Source organism: Homo sapiens, chromosome 8, assembly GCF_000001405.40.
Source record: "Homo sapiens chromosome 8, GRCh38.p14 Primary Assembly".
NCBI classification, from domain to species: Eukaryota; Metazoa; Chordata; class Mammalia; order Primates; family Hominidae; genus Homo; species Homo sapiens.
Window position 1 is genome coordinate 127,458,861 of NC_000008.11, and position 20,517 is coordinate 127,479,377.

General features: G+C 39.8%; 1 long non-coding RNA gene across 2 annotated transcripts in view; it reads right to left on the reverse strand.

Annotated features, from left to right (window-relative positions):
- Positions 1–20,517, reverse strand: part of CASC8 (cancer susceptibility 8) — a 192,464-nt gene that overhangs the window by 169,185 nt on the left and 2,762 nt on the right. For both annotated transcript variants that reach the window (NR_117100.1, NR_024393.1), the window contains exon 4: positions 20,223–20,310. This is a non-coding gene — a long non-coding RNA (cancer susceptibility 8). The remainder of the gene's footprint in view (positions 1–20,222; positions 20,311–20,517) is intronic.

Consider the following 20,517-nt stretch of genomic DNA (forward strand, 5'->3'; position numbering starts at 1 on the left):
TGGGGATGAAAAATAAAAACACTATTACACATTCCAAAAATTGACTTAGACGTGAAAGATTAGAAATTCCAAGTATGGGCCAGAATGTGGAACAATGAAAACTGTCATACTTCTGGTCAAAGTGTAAACTGGCACAAGTATTTTAGAAAACTATTTGGTATTATCTACTGAAATTTAATATAATACTATGACCCAGCAGTTCTAGGTATATATCCTCAGAAATGTGTGCACATGTGGACCAAAAGACATGTACAGAAAAGTTTATAGCAGTATTAGTTATGATAGCCCCAATCCAGTAACAACAATAGTTCTAGTTCAACAATAGTAGATGGATAAACAAGTTTTGGTATATTTGTACAATGGAATGCTACATAATAATGAAAACAAACTACTACTATATATAACAGTATGGATGAATCTCAAAGATATAATGTAGAACAAAAGAAACTAGACACTTGAAAATGCCTAAGTTATGATTTGATTTATATGGAATCCAAAAAAAAAAAAAAAGACAAGCAAACTTGGCTACCTTTGGGGAGAGGGGAGGGGCTGGATATGGGGTGATATAGGCGCTCCCAGAGTGGTAGCAATGTTCTGTTTCTTTGACCTGGGTTGTGGTCAGTTTGTCATAATTTAGTGACTTGTTCACTTAAGATTTGTTCACTTTTCTGCGTATTTGCTATAGTTCAAGTAAACAGTTTAAAAATTCAAAAAAATAAAAATAAATAAAAACAAATAAATGAAGACATACATCAGTTCAATACCAAAACATCAGTAACATGTCTGGCCAAAGGCAAGGCCTATCAAAATGGGTAACAAAGCAAAATCTTCCCTCTGCCGTTTTCAAGATACATGCCTATAACAAAATGCACAAAATATAGTCAAAGATATTCATCATACAATATTCATATTAGCACAAAATTCATTTAGATCTAAATGTCCAATAAAAGAGGATAGTGAAAGTACTTTACAGTGTATTTCTACAACAGAGTATGATATAGCCAGTAAAACTCGTGTTCTCAAAGACTTAAGTAAAATGCTCCTGGTATCTCGGTAAATGAGATTCATTCAAAGTGAAACATATAACCTCAGCCCTGTTTGTATGTGCTTACACCTTCTAAAGTAATTTTTGTCTTCAGTTGCTCTGTTTTCCTTTCTCCCTTCTGTGTAGCTTCTGTCCTCCCATCCTTTTCATTGTCCTCCAAAAGAAATCTCATTCTCAGCAGCCATGATTTCACGAGACAAGATTAGGAGAATGGGTAGAGAAAGACTGGAATGCAAAGGTAGTAAAACTTTAGATAAAATTCTTTCTTATTGGGTGTGGTTTCAGGTTCTCCTCTATTATGGAAATTCTAGATAATGAGCAAAGAAGAAAGCAAATTTAAAAGGAGACCAGATACTTATGGACATAAAGATGGCAGCAATAGAAACTGGGGACTACTAGATGGGGGATGGAGGGAGCTAGAGGGGAAAGAGTTGAAAAACTATTGAGTACTATGCTCAGTACCTGGATGGTGGAATTAGCTGCACCCCAAATCTCAGCATCATGCAATATACCCAAGTTACAAACCTTCACATGTACCTCCTGAATCTAAAATAAAATTTGAGGAAAAAAAGAAGGCCAGAGAAACTCTTCCTTACTATATTTAAAAGAAGCTTAAAATAGGGTAAGAAAGGGTTATGGGAGACTTATAAAGAGGTGAGGATAATTTGGGGTAGGTTGGAGAATCCAGAAGCTATCATATAGATTTTGGGTATGGAAAGGTAGGAGAGTAATAGAAACAAAGGTTTAGGAAGTTTTACCATGGGTTATGAATTACATTCCACTTAACATTATTTGAAGACCAAAGGTAAAGCCTGTATTTGTCCTAATAATTATCTATGGCTAATTGAGTAGCGATTTTCTGAGTATCCATGAACACATGAAGTCCTAGATTATATTAAGAGCATAAAGTAAGACATTGAGGTCATCAGAAAAGCTTGTCATGAAAAAATCCAGCACTGTTTATTTCTCTACAGTGGAACTAGAATTAATTTATATTTTGTTCTTTATATTTTTCTCAATTTTTTCCAAGCTTTCTTATATAAGAAAGTGCATGACTTATATAGCCAGAAAAATGCATATATAATATATATTATTCAGAAAAAAGTTCCAAAAAACTTACTATTGTCTGTCCCTTCAATTGCTGCTGGAAGAATGTTTGATAGCGAAGCAGAAAAAGAAAGCATGGAGAAAGGGCTCTCTCAGTATATGGGGTGGGGATGGGAGAGGAACAGCCGTGGAACCCCTCCCACCATGGCCTTGGCCTTGTTCACAGGAGAGCAGTTTGCCCTAAGTAGTTTTGTAGAAGGCATTAAAAAAATTGCATCAGGCTGGGCACAGTGGCTCACGCCTGTAATCCTAGCACTTTGGGAGGCCGAGGCAGGTGGATCACGAAGTGAGGAGTTTGAGACCAGCCTGGCCAAGATGGTGAAACCTTGTCTCTACTAAAAATACAAAAGTTAGCCAGGCACGGTGGTGGGCGCCTGTAATCCCAGCTACTTAGGAGGCTGAGGTGGGAGAATCGCTTGAATCTGAGAGGCAGAGGTTGCAGTGAGCTGAGATCATGCCACTGCACTCTAGCTTGGGCAACAGAGCAAGACTCAGTCTCAAAATAATAATAATTATTATAATAATAATAATTGCATCAATAAAACAGCAACTTGCCATAGAAATAGTTATGACAGTCTGTTTTATATATAATCAAAAGATCTGTACACAGAATTTGATGTGAATGATGTATCCACAGAGAGCCAGTAATTTAAGTGCACCCAGAGATGACTGCCTGCCCTGATTATACTCCTGCAGATGCTGCCAGGGGAGGAGCAGTGTGGTCTGGAAAAAGCATGGACTTGGGTTCTCTGAAGTTAGACAAGCCTAGATTGGAATATCAGTTTTGCCACTTACTGGCTGTGTGACTTCAGTCAAGTTATTAATTGTTTTTGTGCCTCCGCTTCTCCATCTGTAACATGGATTTAATTAAGTCCATATCACCTGGGTGCTATGAACAATAATATTGAGAAATGGGATTATATAATATACATTTAAGCACCTAGTGGAACTCTGAGAAGTAAGAGGTGCCCAATTAGCTTTATCCTTACTGCCATTCCCACTTATAGCTCCCACCCCCCACCACATCTCTTCTGCCCTGCCCCAAAGTTCTCAAAGCAAGGGGGGCTGGGTGGGGATAGGAGGGGTTGGAGGCAGGGAAGGAGTCAGGGAGGGAAACTGACTGGAAAGATTATTTTATCATAAAATAATTTTCCTGCCAAGTTCCCCACTTACTCCTGGATTTATTTTTCCTTTTGTGCATAGATAAGGGTATGTGTTAGCGTATTCCTGTCTGAATTTAGAGGCATTTCTTAAAAAGTCATCCAGCATCATATTACATTAGTTCTTAAACTCCACATACAAGGAAGCATTCCAGAGTACTCATATGTCTTGGGATGTACCTTTTATCAAACAATCAAGAAATTATAATAAGCAACTCTGATATAATCTTTATGAAGTGCCAGGAACTTGTCTAAATTTTTTACCATACAAAGTAGGCGCCATGACAATCTTCATTTTATGCATGAGGAAATTGAGGCACAGAGAGGCTGAATAACCTGACCAAGATTATTCTTCAGGCCAATGTCAAGTCTGGATTTAAGCTCAGAGCAGAAGTCAAGAAAGTGCAGCTGGTGGGCCAAATACAGCTCATCAGATATTGTATAGAGAAGACTTCTGTAGCCAGCCTTCTCCTCCTCAAGGCCACCTCATCATCACTCCCTTTCTCTGTTACTAATCCTAGTGTTCTGTTTTTATAGCTCTCAGAACCCGATCCTATTTATGCACTGACTTGTGTATCATCGTGTATACATACATACATTGTATATTGTATGACTCAAGTTAAAAATAATTTCTACCTTTTTTTCTCTTTTCCCACACTACACTGATGTAAGTTTTTACTTTTTTAAATAAATATATATTAAATACAGTCCCTGACTCACAATGGTTTGACTTACAATTCTTTGACTTTACAATGGTACAAAAGTGAGATGTATTTGGAAGAAACAGTACTTCAAGTACTCATACAGCTATTCTGTTTTTCACTTTCAATACAGCCTTGAAAAAATTGAGATATTCAAAGTTTATTATAAAATAGGCTTTATGTTAAATGATTTTCCCTAGCTATAAGCTAATAGAAGTATTCTGAATACTCTTAAGGTAGGCTAGGCTAAGCTGTGATGTTCAATAGGTTAGGTGTATTCAGTGTATTTGTGACTTAAAATGATATTTTGAACTTCAAATTAATTTATCAAGACATAGCCCCATCATAAGTTAAAGAATGTCTATAGTTATACAATAAAATTCTCAATGTTTCCTTTTGGCCGTCCAAACCTAAAATATGTACAACCCATTTCTTTACAAAAGAAGTTTGCTGCTCCCTTATCTAGTGTATCTTAATCACTATAAATATTCCCTCTCATTACATGCAGTTTCAAGCACAATCTGCAACCCACAGCAATAAAATTATCAGTTATCAAGCAGGAAGGCATCATCATCATCATCCCTTCCACTGTACAGTCGGTTTAGGGTAACACAAGCAGCATTGTATGCAGGCATGGCCTGCCAATCAGTGACACAAATGCTCTGGGCTCTCAGGGGCTATCAGTAACTAGGATAGGTGCTGAGGCAAATACAGTGGTAGATGACACTACCTTCATCCTGAAGATTTACCATCAAAATATCCCAAAATAGTGCATTAAGAGCTATCCAAGTCTTTAGGTGAACTAAACCTTCAGCCAAAATATTCTCTAGTAGATTATCAAGCCACCTAGTGAGAGAGAGAAATCAGACAAACATAAATTTCTGTGTTTGGGGGGAAATTTGTCACTCACTCTGTGCCCAATTTCCTCTTCCACACAATGGGGTTGGTGATGACATCTACCTCATGGAGTCATTGTAGGATTTGACTGGGACAATAGATGTCAAGTAGTTAGCACTTTAAGTAGTTGAGACATAAACTCTCAATAAATGTCTAGTATTACCGGTATTGCCCCAGAATTTCTTAGTGGTAGAACAAAGAAAGCCCTCTGTAGAAAGGCTTCAGCAGGGTTATAGTCACCCTGAAATTGCACTAAAATTTTATATTTAAGATGCATTTTTCTGGGGAGAGTTTCTGTAACGTACTTCAGATTCTCTGAGAAATCTGGAACTCAGAAATATTAAGTGCCACAACTCAAAATGATATGAACTAGGGGAGATACATGAAGGCTTTTGGGAGAAAGATGTGCGCATCCCCAGACATGTCCCCTCTGATGCACCACAGAAACCTGTCAGTTGGTACTGATCTACCCTCCTCCTCCTCCTTCTCCTACACACACACACACACACACACACACACACACACACACACACACACTTCATCCTACTCTCCAGCATTCAGGGAAGAAAACAGAGGCAAATGTTGTGAGCTGCATCCTTGCAGTCAACTGCTCTTGGGACTTCTGTAGCCAGTCTTCCTCCCTCAGTGCCCCCTCATCATCATTCCCATTCTCTGTCAACTGATCCTAGTGTTCTTTTTTATAGCTTTCAGAAATTGATGCTATTTATGCAGTTACTTGAGTATCATTGCCATCTACTATTTGAATATAGGCTCCATGAAGATAGGAACTTGGTCCGTCTTGCTCATGACTGAATTCTCCGTATTTGGCTCAATAGACATTTGATCAACAAGTAAAAGAGACCCCAAAAATCCCCAGAAAATTTCAGTTCAGCTTGCACATGAACAATGAAAGGCAGCTTGAGAATCTTGACTCTACTGTGAATGCCAAATAGCCTGCTTAACCAAGGTTGTCCAAATTCAGCTAAGGGATGCATCAGGATGGACACCATGAGTGTTTTGTGTGGAAACAGAGTGAGGGTTTGCCTATCATTAAGCAACTTGTGAGTAACGAGTGTATAACATCCAGGATGTTTTGACATTTGGGCTTCTTACATCTGACTGCTGCCACCTCGGGCCAGTACATAACTTAGGGGTAGGGTAGCTACGCTTATAGACCTGAAATTCTAGTATAATAATAAGACAAAATATCTGAATTAAGACAGTCATAAAAATAATCTTGGGTTTCTTTTATTTATTCATACATTCAACAAATATTCATGGAGCCTTGTTATGCACTAGGCACTGGGAACTGAGCTGTGAACAAAACAGATAAATCCTTATACTTGGGATATTTATATCCAAGTGGAGGACTAATGAGAAATCCTTCTCCTCCCCCAGTCCTATTCTCTAGAGCCCTTCAATATCTGATTTGATCAAACTTACCAAAAATACTTTTTGCACAAGGCAGCACACCCACATGCCCCTCGTATATAGACAGTGCATCAAATGTGTTATGGTTGACAGTAGTTGTTCTCAACCAAGGGCCATGTTGCCTTCTCTCTAGAAGACATTTCTCAATGTCTGGAGACATTTTTAGTATCACAAGAAGGGGGATGTGCTAATGGCACCAGTGGGGAATGCTGCCAACCATTCTACAATGCACAGGACAGCTCCTCACAACAAAGAATTATCTGGTCCCAGATTACCTAAGTGCTGAGGTTGAGATGCCCTGGTCTACAGTCGACATCTAATAGCCAGATCCAAGCAGCAGTTATACTTTCCCTGATTTCCTTTAATATAATAATATCCAGCATTAAAGAGCCATTGTAGACATTGGGAGTTTTCCCACTGCTCAGAAGTTTTTAAACACCCTTCCCTCATCTAAGAAACCTTTCACATCCCCAAGGTGGAAACAAGAAACTCACTTTCCCATTCTCCTTTGTAATGCTCCACCTCAGCCATACCAACCACAATGAGTGAGAGTATCACTGAAAAGTGAGCAAGATGAGAGAGCCGATGCTGGGTAGAAACTATTTTTTGGCTAGAGATGGCAGTGATGGCTGGAAGTGGAATTTCTGACATCCTGAGCCCAGAATGTGAGCTGGGGTCTCTGTCCTCATAGCATCGATGGAGTCTGTACTGGTTCATTCCCATTGTATGGTATGGATGTAATCCTTCTCCATAGAGCCTCCCAGTGTGACTCTCCAGCCATCTTGGAGACGTGAAGCACTAATATTCTTCAAAAAATTCTTTTTTCCCCTAAACCCACTTAATGGGTTCTGTTTGCATTTTTTCATAAGAACAAGCAAAAAAACTGTTCACAGTCGATAGGAAATCTAAGAAGGATGGACTCACAATTCACCTAGAACTCACTCACTGGCTTACACTAATCATCTTATTTTGGGGTAAAAACCACCTTGGCTACTAACACAGTAAAACACCCTAGTGTGCGCTGCATGAAAAAGGTATTTCAAAGATAATGTCTTCATCAACAGCAAAAGAAGAAACCTTGTCCTCTGTCTTATCAAATAGCCAATGCCTTCATCCAGCCAGTTTTTCCCCAGCTGTAAATACAACCTATGTGAGTTTGTCTCTATTTTGCAAGCACAGGAAATAGGAATCATAAGCCACCTGTGCTCCTTTCACATCAAATTAAAAGGGAGATAAAAAGATTGAAAGGAAGCGTGGGAAAACAAAACCTCCATAAAAATTTTAAAGTCAGACTGCCCTTGAGCCAGCTTGAACGTTGGTTTAAGTGGATTATGATGCCAGCTTTCGAGGACATGCTCTACCATGGGAATGGAGAGACGGTGCATGGAAGATGCACCACCTTCATCTTGTATTTGCCACTGTGGGAGAAGACTGACCTGTTAGCCTTTTCTGCTCACCAGTTCATCTTTTGCTGGGAGAGAGAATTCTGAGTGCAGAATTCTTCACATTATCCATGCAGAACTAGGAAAATTGCCAAAAGTTATGGGTCTGTACAGAGTTAGTGTCACAGTAAGAATCTCATTGCCCAAGCAATAGGGTCTAAAATCACGATCTTATTCAAAGTAACAGCGACCACTTACCTCATGCCTCATATGTGCCAGATACTTTTCTTACATTATTTTTAATCTCCATAGCAATTATCTAAGGTAGATAATATCTAGAGATGAGGAAACTGGGGCTCTAGGAGTATGCAAGATTTGTCCAAGGTCTCACAGCAATATCTTAGTAGAGTCTGTCTAGAATCAAAGCCAATTTGTCTTTTTGCCCTATCATGGTTCATCTCTACTTCACTCTAACTCCATCCTAAAAACCACCTTCCCCATCCACTATATAAATGAATGATAGCACCACCCTTTCAGTAAAAGGATCTAGACATTCACCATCTCTCTACCATCCTAGCAGCAACTGCAATGCTTGGAAAATAGTCGAGGATTAGTAAGAGCTTGTCAAATGAGACACAGTTTGTTGTTCTGGCCCTGACATGAAACAGGTAATCAAGTAAACGTATATTTTATATATAGTCACTTCACTTTCCTAGTCACTAATTTCCTTATCTATAAGACAAGGGTATTGGGCCAAAAGTCTAGTCTTAAAGGTTCCTTTCAAGTCATTTATTGAAAGTTTGTCTGATACTTTATTTTTTACTAAACTTTATATATTCCTTAAATACACACTCAAAGAAACATATACAGGTAAATACAGACAAGCTCTATCTAATGGTGTTAACTGTCACTTAGTATATAAAGACATCTTCTCTCAGAGAAATTGGTCACATGTTCTTTCTTTAGACAACTGCTCATCATGTCCTTTGACTAATCATAAGCCAACAGTAAGAAGTTAAGAGTGCCAAGAAAAGGTAACTGTGTTAAGTTGCATTTGTATTTTTCCAAGTATTTACTCTCCCATTCTTTCATATCTATAAGAGGATTATCCATCCCCACCCACTGGCATGTGCGTACAGTGCCTCCATGAGGGGCGTTTATCTGTTTTTCTTCACAATGAATTTATCACATTCCTTGCTTTGGCCAATAGAATGTGAGTGGGCATACGATGTGTGCATGTCTGAACAGAAGTCATGAAACAATTGCCTGGTTCTGATTTATCTCCTGCTTTTTTTTTCTTTGGCGTTAAATTGGTATGTGCGAGATAGAGGTTGATCTTTCAACTTTGACCTGGTATTGAGAAGGCACCTGAGGCAAAACCAGAGCTGATCTAGAGTTGACATACACAGTGGACATATAAAATGAATAAAAGATAAAACTTTTAGATTGTAAGCCACTGTAATTTGGAAGATGTTTGTTACTGCAGCATAACCTATCAAAGGCTGACTTATAAAAAATATTTCAGATACCGTTAGTTCTCACTGTTCACAGTAGTTATGTTTTATGAAGTTTCCATGGATACTGAATGAGCGAACAGTGAACTAATGTTCCTAGGTAAAATAGAAGATTAGGTTCCCGTGAGCTCTGGGCAAAACATTTTCATCATCCAAGCAATACATAATCTTGCTTTATGTGTGTTTCTATGTAAAGACACCTTATTCAATATATTTTGTTGATTCATTAAAATTAAACTCATGGCCAGCAGCATTATAGCTCATGCCTAAATGAGGCTTATCTAACATGTATATATTTTCTATAAGACATTTCACAGTCTTCTTGACTCAAGAACACTACACAGCACTTCAGCACTATGCTGAAATGGGGCCATTTTAAACAGAAAAATCACCACCAACAAAAATTAGCTGGGAGTGGTGGTGCACACCTGTAGTTCAAGCTACTTGGGAGACTGAGGCAGAAGAATCGTTTGAACCTAGGAGGCAGAGGTCGCAGTGAGACAAGATTGCACCACTGTACTTCAGCCTGGGCAACAGAGTGAGTCTCCATCTCAAGAAAGAAAACAAAACAAAAACAAAACAAAAGAAACAAACAAAAAAACACTTCATCAAAAAGCATAAAAATGGGGAAAATGTGGAGCTAAGTAGATTGAAAGGGACACTTATTACAATGTGAGAGCTGAAATGAGATAGCAGAGGCTCACCTTGTTTACCCTCAGCTAGGATCATGTGTGTCAACTGACTTAGATGTTTTGCCACCCACTCTAAGCATGTCCAAGAATCACTGTAAAAGCACCATGAGTATTGATTTGGGGATTTAAGTATGTTTTAGCAAGTAGGTGAGTTCACAAATATAGAATCCATGAATAATAAAGATCTACTCTATTTACATGTGCCACATCATTTAACCCTCATAACAATCCCAAAAGGTGAGTATTTTTATCACCATTGTAGAGAAAAGTAAGATTCTGACAGTGAAATAATGTGTCCAAAGGTATAACTAATTCGTGATAAAGCAAGAATTTAAAGGTTTTTAAAGTCTTCTAGGTTTGCATGGCTCCAAAATCACAGTATGGCTCTTTTCTCTGCCCCATATTGTCTCCCAGTAGAAGGAAAGTTGACATGTGGCACCAAGACTCAACTTATCTGCCTGGATTTCAGGGCCCTGCTTAATCTGATTGCTCATGGTATTTTCCATCTCCATTCAATCCATGCTCACCAACACCCTCCTCTTCAGTGAAGAGATTCTTTCCTCCCATTGTGCTCAGCCTCCATTTTTAGTTCTACTTTGACACGGAATATGCTCTTCTGTCACGCATCTGGTCCACATTCTCAAGGCTGGTTGGAGAAGCCTGGAGATTATTTGGTCCAATCTTGATGCTTCCAGCTCAGACCCAGAGAGGGTCAGTGATTTTCCCAATGTTAGTGAGAGTCTGAGTAAGGACTTGAACACAGATTTGCTGACCTTGGGGCAATTATCCCTGGGATTGTTTCACTTTTCCTCCCACCCCAAAAGCAATTACCTTTAACCTTAGAGCAAACAAATGGGCAGAGGAGGGGCGGGAGTGGCAAAAGCAAATCATTACCACTCAGAGGTATTTACAAATGATTTCAAAGGGTTTTTAGGAAGGAGACAGCTGATGACTTTGTCAGTCAAACAGCCTCCTGTTCTAAAAGAAGCCAACAAACCATTGAAGAATAATAGCAGAGACCTTCTGGTCTTTGAATTCATACAGCACTTTTCACCTCTGAAGCTCAAGGCTCCTTCCGGATGTTATCTCATTCTTCTTCCCAGATCACTAGTAGAGAGTAGTTGCAAGTATTGTACCCATTTTGCTGATAGAAACATTAAGCCTCAAACGCAGTAAGAGATTTGATCAGAATCAGAAAAATCAACAACCTTATTCTGCAGAACCAGGGTTAAAGCTGAGAACTAGAATCAAAACTTAGCCCTTTCAAATCTTATCCTAAGCCATAGAAGGAATTGTCTAGAAATGAGACTGAAACAAGGGGGAAAAGAGGACTGGCATTTGTTGAAGATGTGTTGTGTCAAATGTCTCATATTAAAGATATCACAGGTCCTTGGTATCCATCCTGTGAAGTAGAAATTGTTATCCTCACTTTATAGACAGAGAAAAGATTTGACCACAGATATTCATAACATCAAAGCCAGCATCATTGATAAAACTGCAGAAAGTGCCTGGTATTTGCAGAAGACTATGCTAGGCCCAATGAGCGTACAGTGAAGCACAAGATGAAGATGTAGCAAGAACTTATTATGCACCAGGCATCAGAGATCGGAAGATAACTAAGACATGCCCTCCAGGAGTCAACACTCTATTTGAACAGAGAAGAGGAGCATGTGGAGCATACAGAGAATAATCCAGAACCCACTCTCTTGTTGAGTACTTTCTACGTGCCAGGCACTGTGCTCTTCATGGTAGAGATTCAACAGGGAACAAAAACACAGTTCTTGCCTTCGTGTAGCTCACTATGCTTGATTGTCAATGTATTCCAAGGGATGCTGCATACCCAAAGATTCGGGGCAGGCACAGGAGAAAAGGGAGGACTTTGACTTTGTGTGCTTTATCTTAAAACTCATGCAAATTTAACATCCTACTCTATAAAATATGGAGGTTCATTTTAACATTACTATATATTTCCTAATAATCAAGTTAAATTATTTGCCTTTTTTTTCTTTATCAACCTTTCCAAAACAGTTGAGACTTCAGGGTACCATTCACATTGACTCTGGAGCATAAATGAACTCCTAACAAACTAGAGCTATACCATCAGGATGCACAAGCCTGATTTAAAAGTGCTGGCAAATAGGCACAGTCCTATTCTGTCGACACCACTTTGATTCAATATCGTTAGTGTCTACTATGTGCTATTATGCAGTGTTCAGTGCTGGGGGAAACAAAACAAAACAAAACAAAACAAAAACAACCAAAACCAAAAACTGGGATAATGGAGAAGAAAACTTCAAATTATTTCTATTCAATGAAGTTGGAGCTATGGCCAAAATAGCTAGAGGGGCCAAGAGGGGCCACCCAAACCAGATTAATAAGTTCCAGGTTCCTCTCATATTTGCACATTAAAAGCACACAATAAATGTTTTTGGCTGATAGAGTCACATCAGTTTTGTCTTAATCTTACAAAATATGTGTTCCTTATAAAGCACATAATCACACCCAGCCTTGCAGCTCCACGTGGGGGGCACAAAGAGGGTAGGGCTGCTTTCTGGACCCAGGAGTCTAATTAACTCTCTCATCAAGCCAGTCCAGTTGGGCCTCCAGCCTCCTACCCCACCCCCACCTTGGATGTGCCCTTTGGCAGCATTTACAGGAGTGGTCTCCCTCTCATTCCCCAAGCAAAGAAAGTTTCTCACATGGTGATCTATGAATGTGTCTGCTCATGACTTCTCTGGAAGTTAATTCTATTACCTTGTGGGTTGGATTGACAACTGCCAAAGGATTTCCTCACGCCTCTGGGACATGGACCTCCTGGCAGTGACTCTTTCTACACTGCTGCAACCTGACAAATTTAAAAATGAATCATTGGCCAGACGTAGTGGCTCATGCCTGTAATCCCAGCACTTTGGGAGGCCGAGGTGGGCAAATCACGAGGTCAAGAGATCAAGATAATCCTGGCTAACATGGTGAAACCCCATCTCTACTAAAAATATAAAAAATTAGCCGGGTGTGGTGGCAGGCACCTGTAGTCCCAGCTACTAGGGAAGCTGAGGCAGGAGAATGGCGTGAACCCGGGAGGTGGGGCTTGCAGTGAGCCAAGATCATGCCACTGCACTGCAGCCTGGGCAACAGAGCAAGACTCCGTCTCCTAAAAAAAAAATGCATCATTACATTCTATCTACATCAAAATCCTTTATTTTTCCCTCCTTGTTATGAACTAGCCCAGAAGCCTCAGACTTACTGCACTTTCTATTGTCAGTATATTCAGATTAAACTAACATTTACTGAGAACCCATTGTGTGTCTCTCATGTTTATAAATATTATTTAATCATATGTCCTGATTAGCCCTGGGAATTAAATGAGTGTTACCATTTTCAAGATGGGTTCTCTGAAGCTTAAAAAAATAAGTTACTAAGCCAAGTCTCCAAATTCCAGTTCTACTACTTTTCCCTCTCAACAGTGTTGCCTAAACCTTTGGATGGATAGATGGATGGATGGATAGAGAAAGAGACAAAGCAGGAAAGAGAAAAGAGAAAGGCATATATATATTTTTTTCTTCATTCTGGGGGCCCACCCTGAAACTACTGAATCACAGTCTCTAGAGGTTCTCAGGCAACTAGCCCAGCTGTTTTTGCCAACTGGAATTTATGAGCCACCGCAAGAGACCACATGCAGCTTCATGTAAAACAAATTATTTTTAAGCACGCAGACTGAGCAGTGATATGAGGAGTGCACAGGAGTGCCTACGCCTACTCCTGGTCTCCATGAGTCTCCTTTGCAAAGTCAAGTATTACAAGATTCTAGAACACATATTGCCTGCCACTGATAATTTAGTTGTTCAGCAAACATTCATTTGTTGAGTTGCACGCCAGACACTATACTAGATGATGGGACAACTAAAGGGTAATGAACAGTTCTGTCTCTATGTAAAAATAATAATGATGATGATGATGAGATGGGACTTCAATTGAGGAAGTGCCATTGGGGAGGTATGTAAAAAGTGCTATGGAAAAAAAGCAACAGGAACCCCTTGATAGAAAAAAAAATGCTGGTGGGGGTAGGGATTTCTGCCTGTGTTCTTCAGAATGGGGTATGGGAAAATCTGGGAGGAAAAGAAATTTAAGTAAGAGCAGAGACTTTGCAAAATTTGTTGTGTTGACTTTTCCTCATGCTGCTTCCCCTGGCATGGGAAGTCATTAGCTGGATAAGAGAGACTTCACAAGAACTGCAATGAATCAAGATGTGCTGGTTTTGTTTTGACACATGGAATTCTTAGGGATTTGATGTTTTTTTTCCCAGTCTTCTCCATCAAAGTTGTTTTCAACCAGTCCTGATTGGACCGATTGACTCATCCTCAGATATCATAGTTTTCCCACTACAAAAGCATGGAACTGATGCCAATAAACCCACTCCTTATTCCCAGAGGGCTAGGGTGAGTCCTTGCAGAGGGGAATTGCTAGGGATGGCACCTGGCAGAAATAGACCATCTGTCTTTCCTCCACAATTATGGTCCCTGCCATTGTGAAGGAAACATTTACCTCCTCCTCACCCTCAGGCCCCCTTTTCCTGCACTTAGGGTCTCATTGCCCCTCCCCACCCTCCGACAAGTAGCTGGTGCTTTCTCCTTGACCTCTGACTCACTGTGGGGAGAACTCTGCCTCAAGAAACATCTTTTCATCTCCCTCTCTAGCTCCAACTGTCCCTTTGCCTCCATGGGGAGCTCCTTGCTCTCTCCTTCGGTATTTCTCTGAGGGCTCACTCAGACCACTCCACTCCACCTGCCACCAGTGGTCTCATACTGAACTATAAATCTGGCCATCCTCCTCTCCTGTTTGGTATCTTCCATCCCCTTCCCATGTCTGGTAGATGATGATGGCCTCAACCCCCAGGTGACTCTTGGACCACGTACCATCCATGCCTTTCCCATTGAGCTACTGTGGAAAGCCCATGCTTGCTTCTAAGTGCTCCATGGTTTGGTTTGGTTTGGTTTTCTGTCATGTCATTCTGTCTGCCTGGGACAGGATTTCTCCCTATCAACACTGAGAGATCTCCTGCTGACCCTGTGCTCAATGATTGTGTCTGCCTTGTCCCTAGCATCCAGATCAACACCTAGCAAATAAACAAGTGCTCAAGAATGTATGTTAAATGAGTGAATAAGCTAGTTAGCAAGAGAGTGAAAGAGAATGAATGAATCCTTGGAGAGCGCAGGCCTTCACTGTGAGGCCTCTAGAACCCTAAGTGAATGACATACTCCTTCCTCTGGGCTAACAGCATGTGAAATATCCCTCTGCTGTAACCCTTATCACTTTTACGATGTGGAATCTCAGGCTCCCTTCTTGGGCACATAGTCTGTATCACATTTTGTATCAGCAGCACATAATAGCCATGCAATATATAATCAACAATTTAGTTTTACGAATCCATTTGACCATCCACATTCCCCACATCTCCTCACCTCTTTCTACAGCATTTTCTGACTCCTCACTTTTCATTCTATCTCTCTTACCTTCAGAAAATTCCAGACCTTGCTCCTTTACCCTAGTATTACTGCCTGAAATGCCCTCTCCTGCATCCTTTCCTGTGTGTATTTAAAACCTAAACTCCTCACAGCTAACAAAAGACCATCCTCCCAAGCCTCCCAGGCTTTCAAGAACATTCCTCCTGTGGCTCCCAAGTCACACACATGTCTCTTTGACAATAATAATATAAACAATCATTTTTCAGTACCAGAATGAATCTCAAGTGCTTTATGTATTACATAAATTCAGATATATCTCTTTTTATTGTACTTCTCTTTACTGTGCTTTGCAGAGATATTGCATTTTTTTTTTACAAACTGAAGATTTGTGGCAACCCTGCATCTAGGAAATCTATCAGTGCCAATTTTCCAACAGTGTAGGCTTATTTCATTTCACTGTGTCCCATTTTGTTAATTCTTTCATAAGTTCAAGTTTATTGTTATTATTCTATCTGTTATGGTGATCTGTGATCAGTGATCTTTGATATTACTATTGTAATTGTTTTGGGGTGCCACACACTGCACCCATATCAGAGAGTAAACTGGTAAATGTGTGTGTTCTGACTGCTCCACTCCAACCAGCCATGTCCCCCATCTCTCCCCATCTCCTCTGGCCTTTCTATTCCTTGAGTCAGAAAAAAATATTGAAATTACGTGAATTAATAATCTTACAATGAACTCTTAAGTATTCACATGAAAGGAAGGGTCACAAGTCTTTCATTGTAAATAAAATACTAGAAATGATTCAGTGAGCCGAGATCGCACCACTGCACTCCAGCCTGGATGACAGAGTAAGACTCTGTCTAAAAAAAAAAAAAAAAAAAAAAAAAAAAACTAGAAATGATTAAGCTTAGTAAGTATGGCATGTCAAAAGCTCAGCCTCTTGTGCCAAACAGCCAAGTTGTGAATGCAAAGGCAAAGTTCTTAAAGGAAACTAAAAGTGCTATTCCCGTGAACGTATTAATGATAAGAAGCAAAACAATCTTTTTGTGATATGGATAAAGTTTTAGTAGTCTGGATAGATCAAACTAGCCACAACATTCCCTTAAGTCAAAGGCTAATTCAGAGCAAGCCCCTAACTCTCTTCAATTCTGTGAAGTTTGAGAAAGATGAGGAAGCTGCAGAAAATGAGTTTGAAGCTAGCAGAGGCTGGTTCATGAAGTTTAAGGAAAGAAGCCATCACCATAACATAAAAGTGAAAGGTGAAGTAGCAAGTGCTGATGGAGAGGCTGCAGTAAGTTAACCAGAAGATCTAGTTAAGATAAGTTATCCAGAAAATCTAGTTAAGATAATTGATAAAAGTAGCTACACTAAGCAACAGAATTTCATTTTAGATCAAGCAGCCTTATACTGCAAGAAGATGCCATCTAGGACTTTCGTAGCTACAGAGGAGAAGTCAATGCCTGGCTTTAAAGCTTCACCAGGCAGGGTAACTCTCTTGTTAGGGGCCAATGCAGATGGAGACTTTAGGTTAAAGTCAATGCTCATTTACCATTCTTTTTTTTTTCTTTTTATTATTATACTTTAAGTTTTAGGGTACAAGTGCACAACGTGCAGGTTAGTTACATATGTATCCATGTGCCATGTTAGTGTGCTGCACCCATTAACTCATCATTTAACATTAGGTATATCTCCTAATGCTATCCCTCCCCCCTCCCCACCCCACAACAGGCCCCAGTGTGTGATGTTCCCCTTCCTGTGTCCATGTGTTCTCATTGTTCGATTCCCACCTATGAGTGAGAACATGTGGTGTTTGGTTTTTTTGGCCTTGCAATAGTTTGCTGAGAATGATGATTTCCAGCTTCATCCATGTCCCTACAAAGGAAATGAACTCATCATTTTTTATGGCTGCATGGTATTCCATGGTGTATATGTGCCATATTTTCTTAATCCAGTCTATCATTGATGGACATTTGGGTTGGTTCCAAGTCTTTGCTATTGTGAATAGTGCCGCAATAAACATACGTGTGCATGTGTCTTTATAGCAGCATGATTTATAATCCTTTGGGTATATACCCAGTAATGGGATTGCTGGGTCAAATGGTATTTCTAGTTCTAGATCATTTACTATTCTTAAATTCTTAGGGCCCTTTAGAATCATGCTAAATCTACTCTGTATGTGTTCTGTAAATAGAACAACAAAGCCTAGGTGACAGCACATCTGATTACAGAATGGTTTGCTGAATATTTTAAGCCCGTGCTTGAGACCTGCTGCTGAAAATCAAAGATTCCTTTCAATAATATAGCTACCCAAGAGTCTTGATAATGCTTTTAGTTATCCAAGAGTTTTGATGAAGATGTGCAAGGAGATTAATGTTATTTTGTGCCTGTGAACACAGCATTCCTGCCATAGCCCATGGATTGAGAAATAATTTGACTTTCAAACCTCATAATTTAAGAAATACATGTTATAAGGCTACAGTTGCCATAGATAGTGAGTCTTCTGATGAATCTGAGCAAATTAAATTGAAAACTTTCTGGAAAGAATTCAGCATTTTAGAGGTCATTAAGACTATTTGTGATGCATGGGAAGAAGTCAAAATATCAGCATTAATAGGAGTTTAAAAGAAGTGGATTCTAACCCTCATGGATGACTTTGAAAGCTTTAGTGGAGGCAAGAACTGTGGATGTGGTAGAAACAGTAAGATAGCCAGAATTAGAAGTGGAGCCTGAAGATGTGACAGAATTGTTACAATCTCGTGATAAAACTTCAGTGGATGAGAAGTTGCTTCTTATGAGCAAAAAAAAAAAAAAAAAAAAAAACAAAAAAATAGTTTCTTGAGATGGGATCCACTCCCAGTGAAGATGCTGTGAGCATTGTTGAAATGACAACAAAAGATTCACTACAATCAACTTAGTTGATAAAGCAGCAGTAGGGCTTGAGAAGATTGACTTCAATTATGAAAGATCTATAATACTATGGGTAAAGTGCTGTTAAACAGCATTGCAAGCTACAGAGAAATCTTTCATAAAAAGAAGAGTCAATCAATGCACTAAATTTCATTCTTGTCTTATTTTAGGAAATTGTCATAGCTACCTAACCTTCAGCAACCACCACCCTGATCAGTCAGCAGCCATCAACATTGAGACAAGACCCTCCACCAGCAAAAACAGATTATGATTTGCTGAAGGCCCAGGTTTATTATTTAGCAATAAAGTTTTTTTGTTTGTTTGTTTGTTTTTGAGATGGAGTCTCGCTCTGTTGCCCAGGCTGGAATGCAGTGGCATGATCTCGGCTCACTGTAACCTCTGCTTCCTGTGTTCAAGTGATTCTCCTGTCTCAGCCTCCCTAGTAGCTGGAACTACAGGCGCCCACCACCACACCTGGCTAATTTTTGTATTTTTAGTAGAGACAAAGTTTCACCATATTGGCCAGGCTAGAACTCCTGACTTCTGGTGATCCTCCTGCCTCAGTCTTCCAAAATGCTGGGATTACAGGGATGAGCCACCACGCCCAGCTAGCAATAAAATATTTTTTAATTAGGATGTGTACATTTAAGAATGGGCATGGTGGCTCACACCTGTAATCCCGGCACTTTGGGAGGCCGAGACGGGAGGATCACTTGAGGTCAGGAGTTTGAGATCAGCCTGACCAACATGGTAAAACCCTGCCTCTACTAAAAAAAAAAAAAAAAGTTTTTAAAAATTAGCTGAGTGTGGTGGCATGCACCTCTGTAATCTCAGCTACTTGGGAGGCCAAGGCAGGAGAATCACTTGAACTTGGAAGGTGGAGGTTGCAGTGAGCCGAGATCGCATCACTGCACTCCAGCCTGCGTGACAGACTGAGACTCAGTCTCAAAAAAATTAAAAAAGTAAAATAAGATGTGTACATGCTTTAGACATAATGCTATTTCACACACAGTAGACTACAGCAGTGTAAACATAACTTTTATATGCACTGGAAAATCAAAAACTTCACGTGACTTGCTTTATGGCAATATTTGCTTTATTGCAGTGGTCTGTAACCAAACCCACAATATCTCAAGTTATGCTTGTATATACATTTTTATAATCTCCTACACATAATATGGAAGGATAAGAAATTGAGGCACAAACAGGTTAAATATCTGTCTTAAAGCTGGGCAACTGGTAAATGATAGAGCCAGTATTTAAACTTGGCCATTATTCATTCATTTATTCACCGATTCATTTAATCATTAAACAAATAGTTATGGAGTGCCCATGAGGCATTATTTCCAGACTTCAACACTTTGTGGTATTATTCACTTGGCAAACTAAACTATTCTGTTGCTTAGACAAAGTGAAGGCAGACAAAGGAGGAAAACCAGAAGGGATTACAGGCTCTGAATCAAAGAAAGGCAGAAAAATGGAAGAGTGAGAGACAAGTTTCAGTTTCAGGTGAGATACCTGAAAGGGGAAAAATTCCTAGGGAATAGCTTTCCTCCTCCAGGGCTCCAGGTTGAATGAATTCCCTGAACTCAGGAACAAGCGTCAAGACTTGTTTTATTGGTATTTACAAAAATAGGTTTTAAAGGATCAGTGATTTGCAGATTCCAGTTGGATGTGTCACACACACACATCTCTCATTCCTCACGTCTAAGAGAGGGGAGAAGGAAAGACACGGCTTTGAAAGCCTAGATATTTTGAAAGGGGTGTTTTGGGATTTCAGCGATTTCTTTTTCCAGCAGCAACTGTATCTTGGACTGTGGTGTATCTCTCTTTCCCATCTCCCAGGCAGGTCAGTTAACCCTTTTGGGCTGTGTTCAATCAGGGTTAGTGCGTAATAAAGATCCTCTGCATTTAGAATTACCTTTTTTTAACCTCTAAACCCTCTTCAAGAGGCTGCAAACTCTTCAAAGACAGAAGCTGCTGTACGGATTTTTCACCTGCTTCAGTGCCTAGAGAGGAACAAGGGAGAGAAGGGGAGAGAAAAAGGAGGAAGGAAGAAACAGGAGCAAGGGATATCTACTTGGTACTTTACAAGGTAGTGTTAATGAAATACACTTAAATCAAGAGTTCTGGGTTCAAGTTCCAGTCCTGACGGTGCCTATACATCCTTGGGTCATCACTCAGACTCTCAGAGCCTCAATTTCTTACTCTGAGAA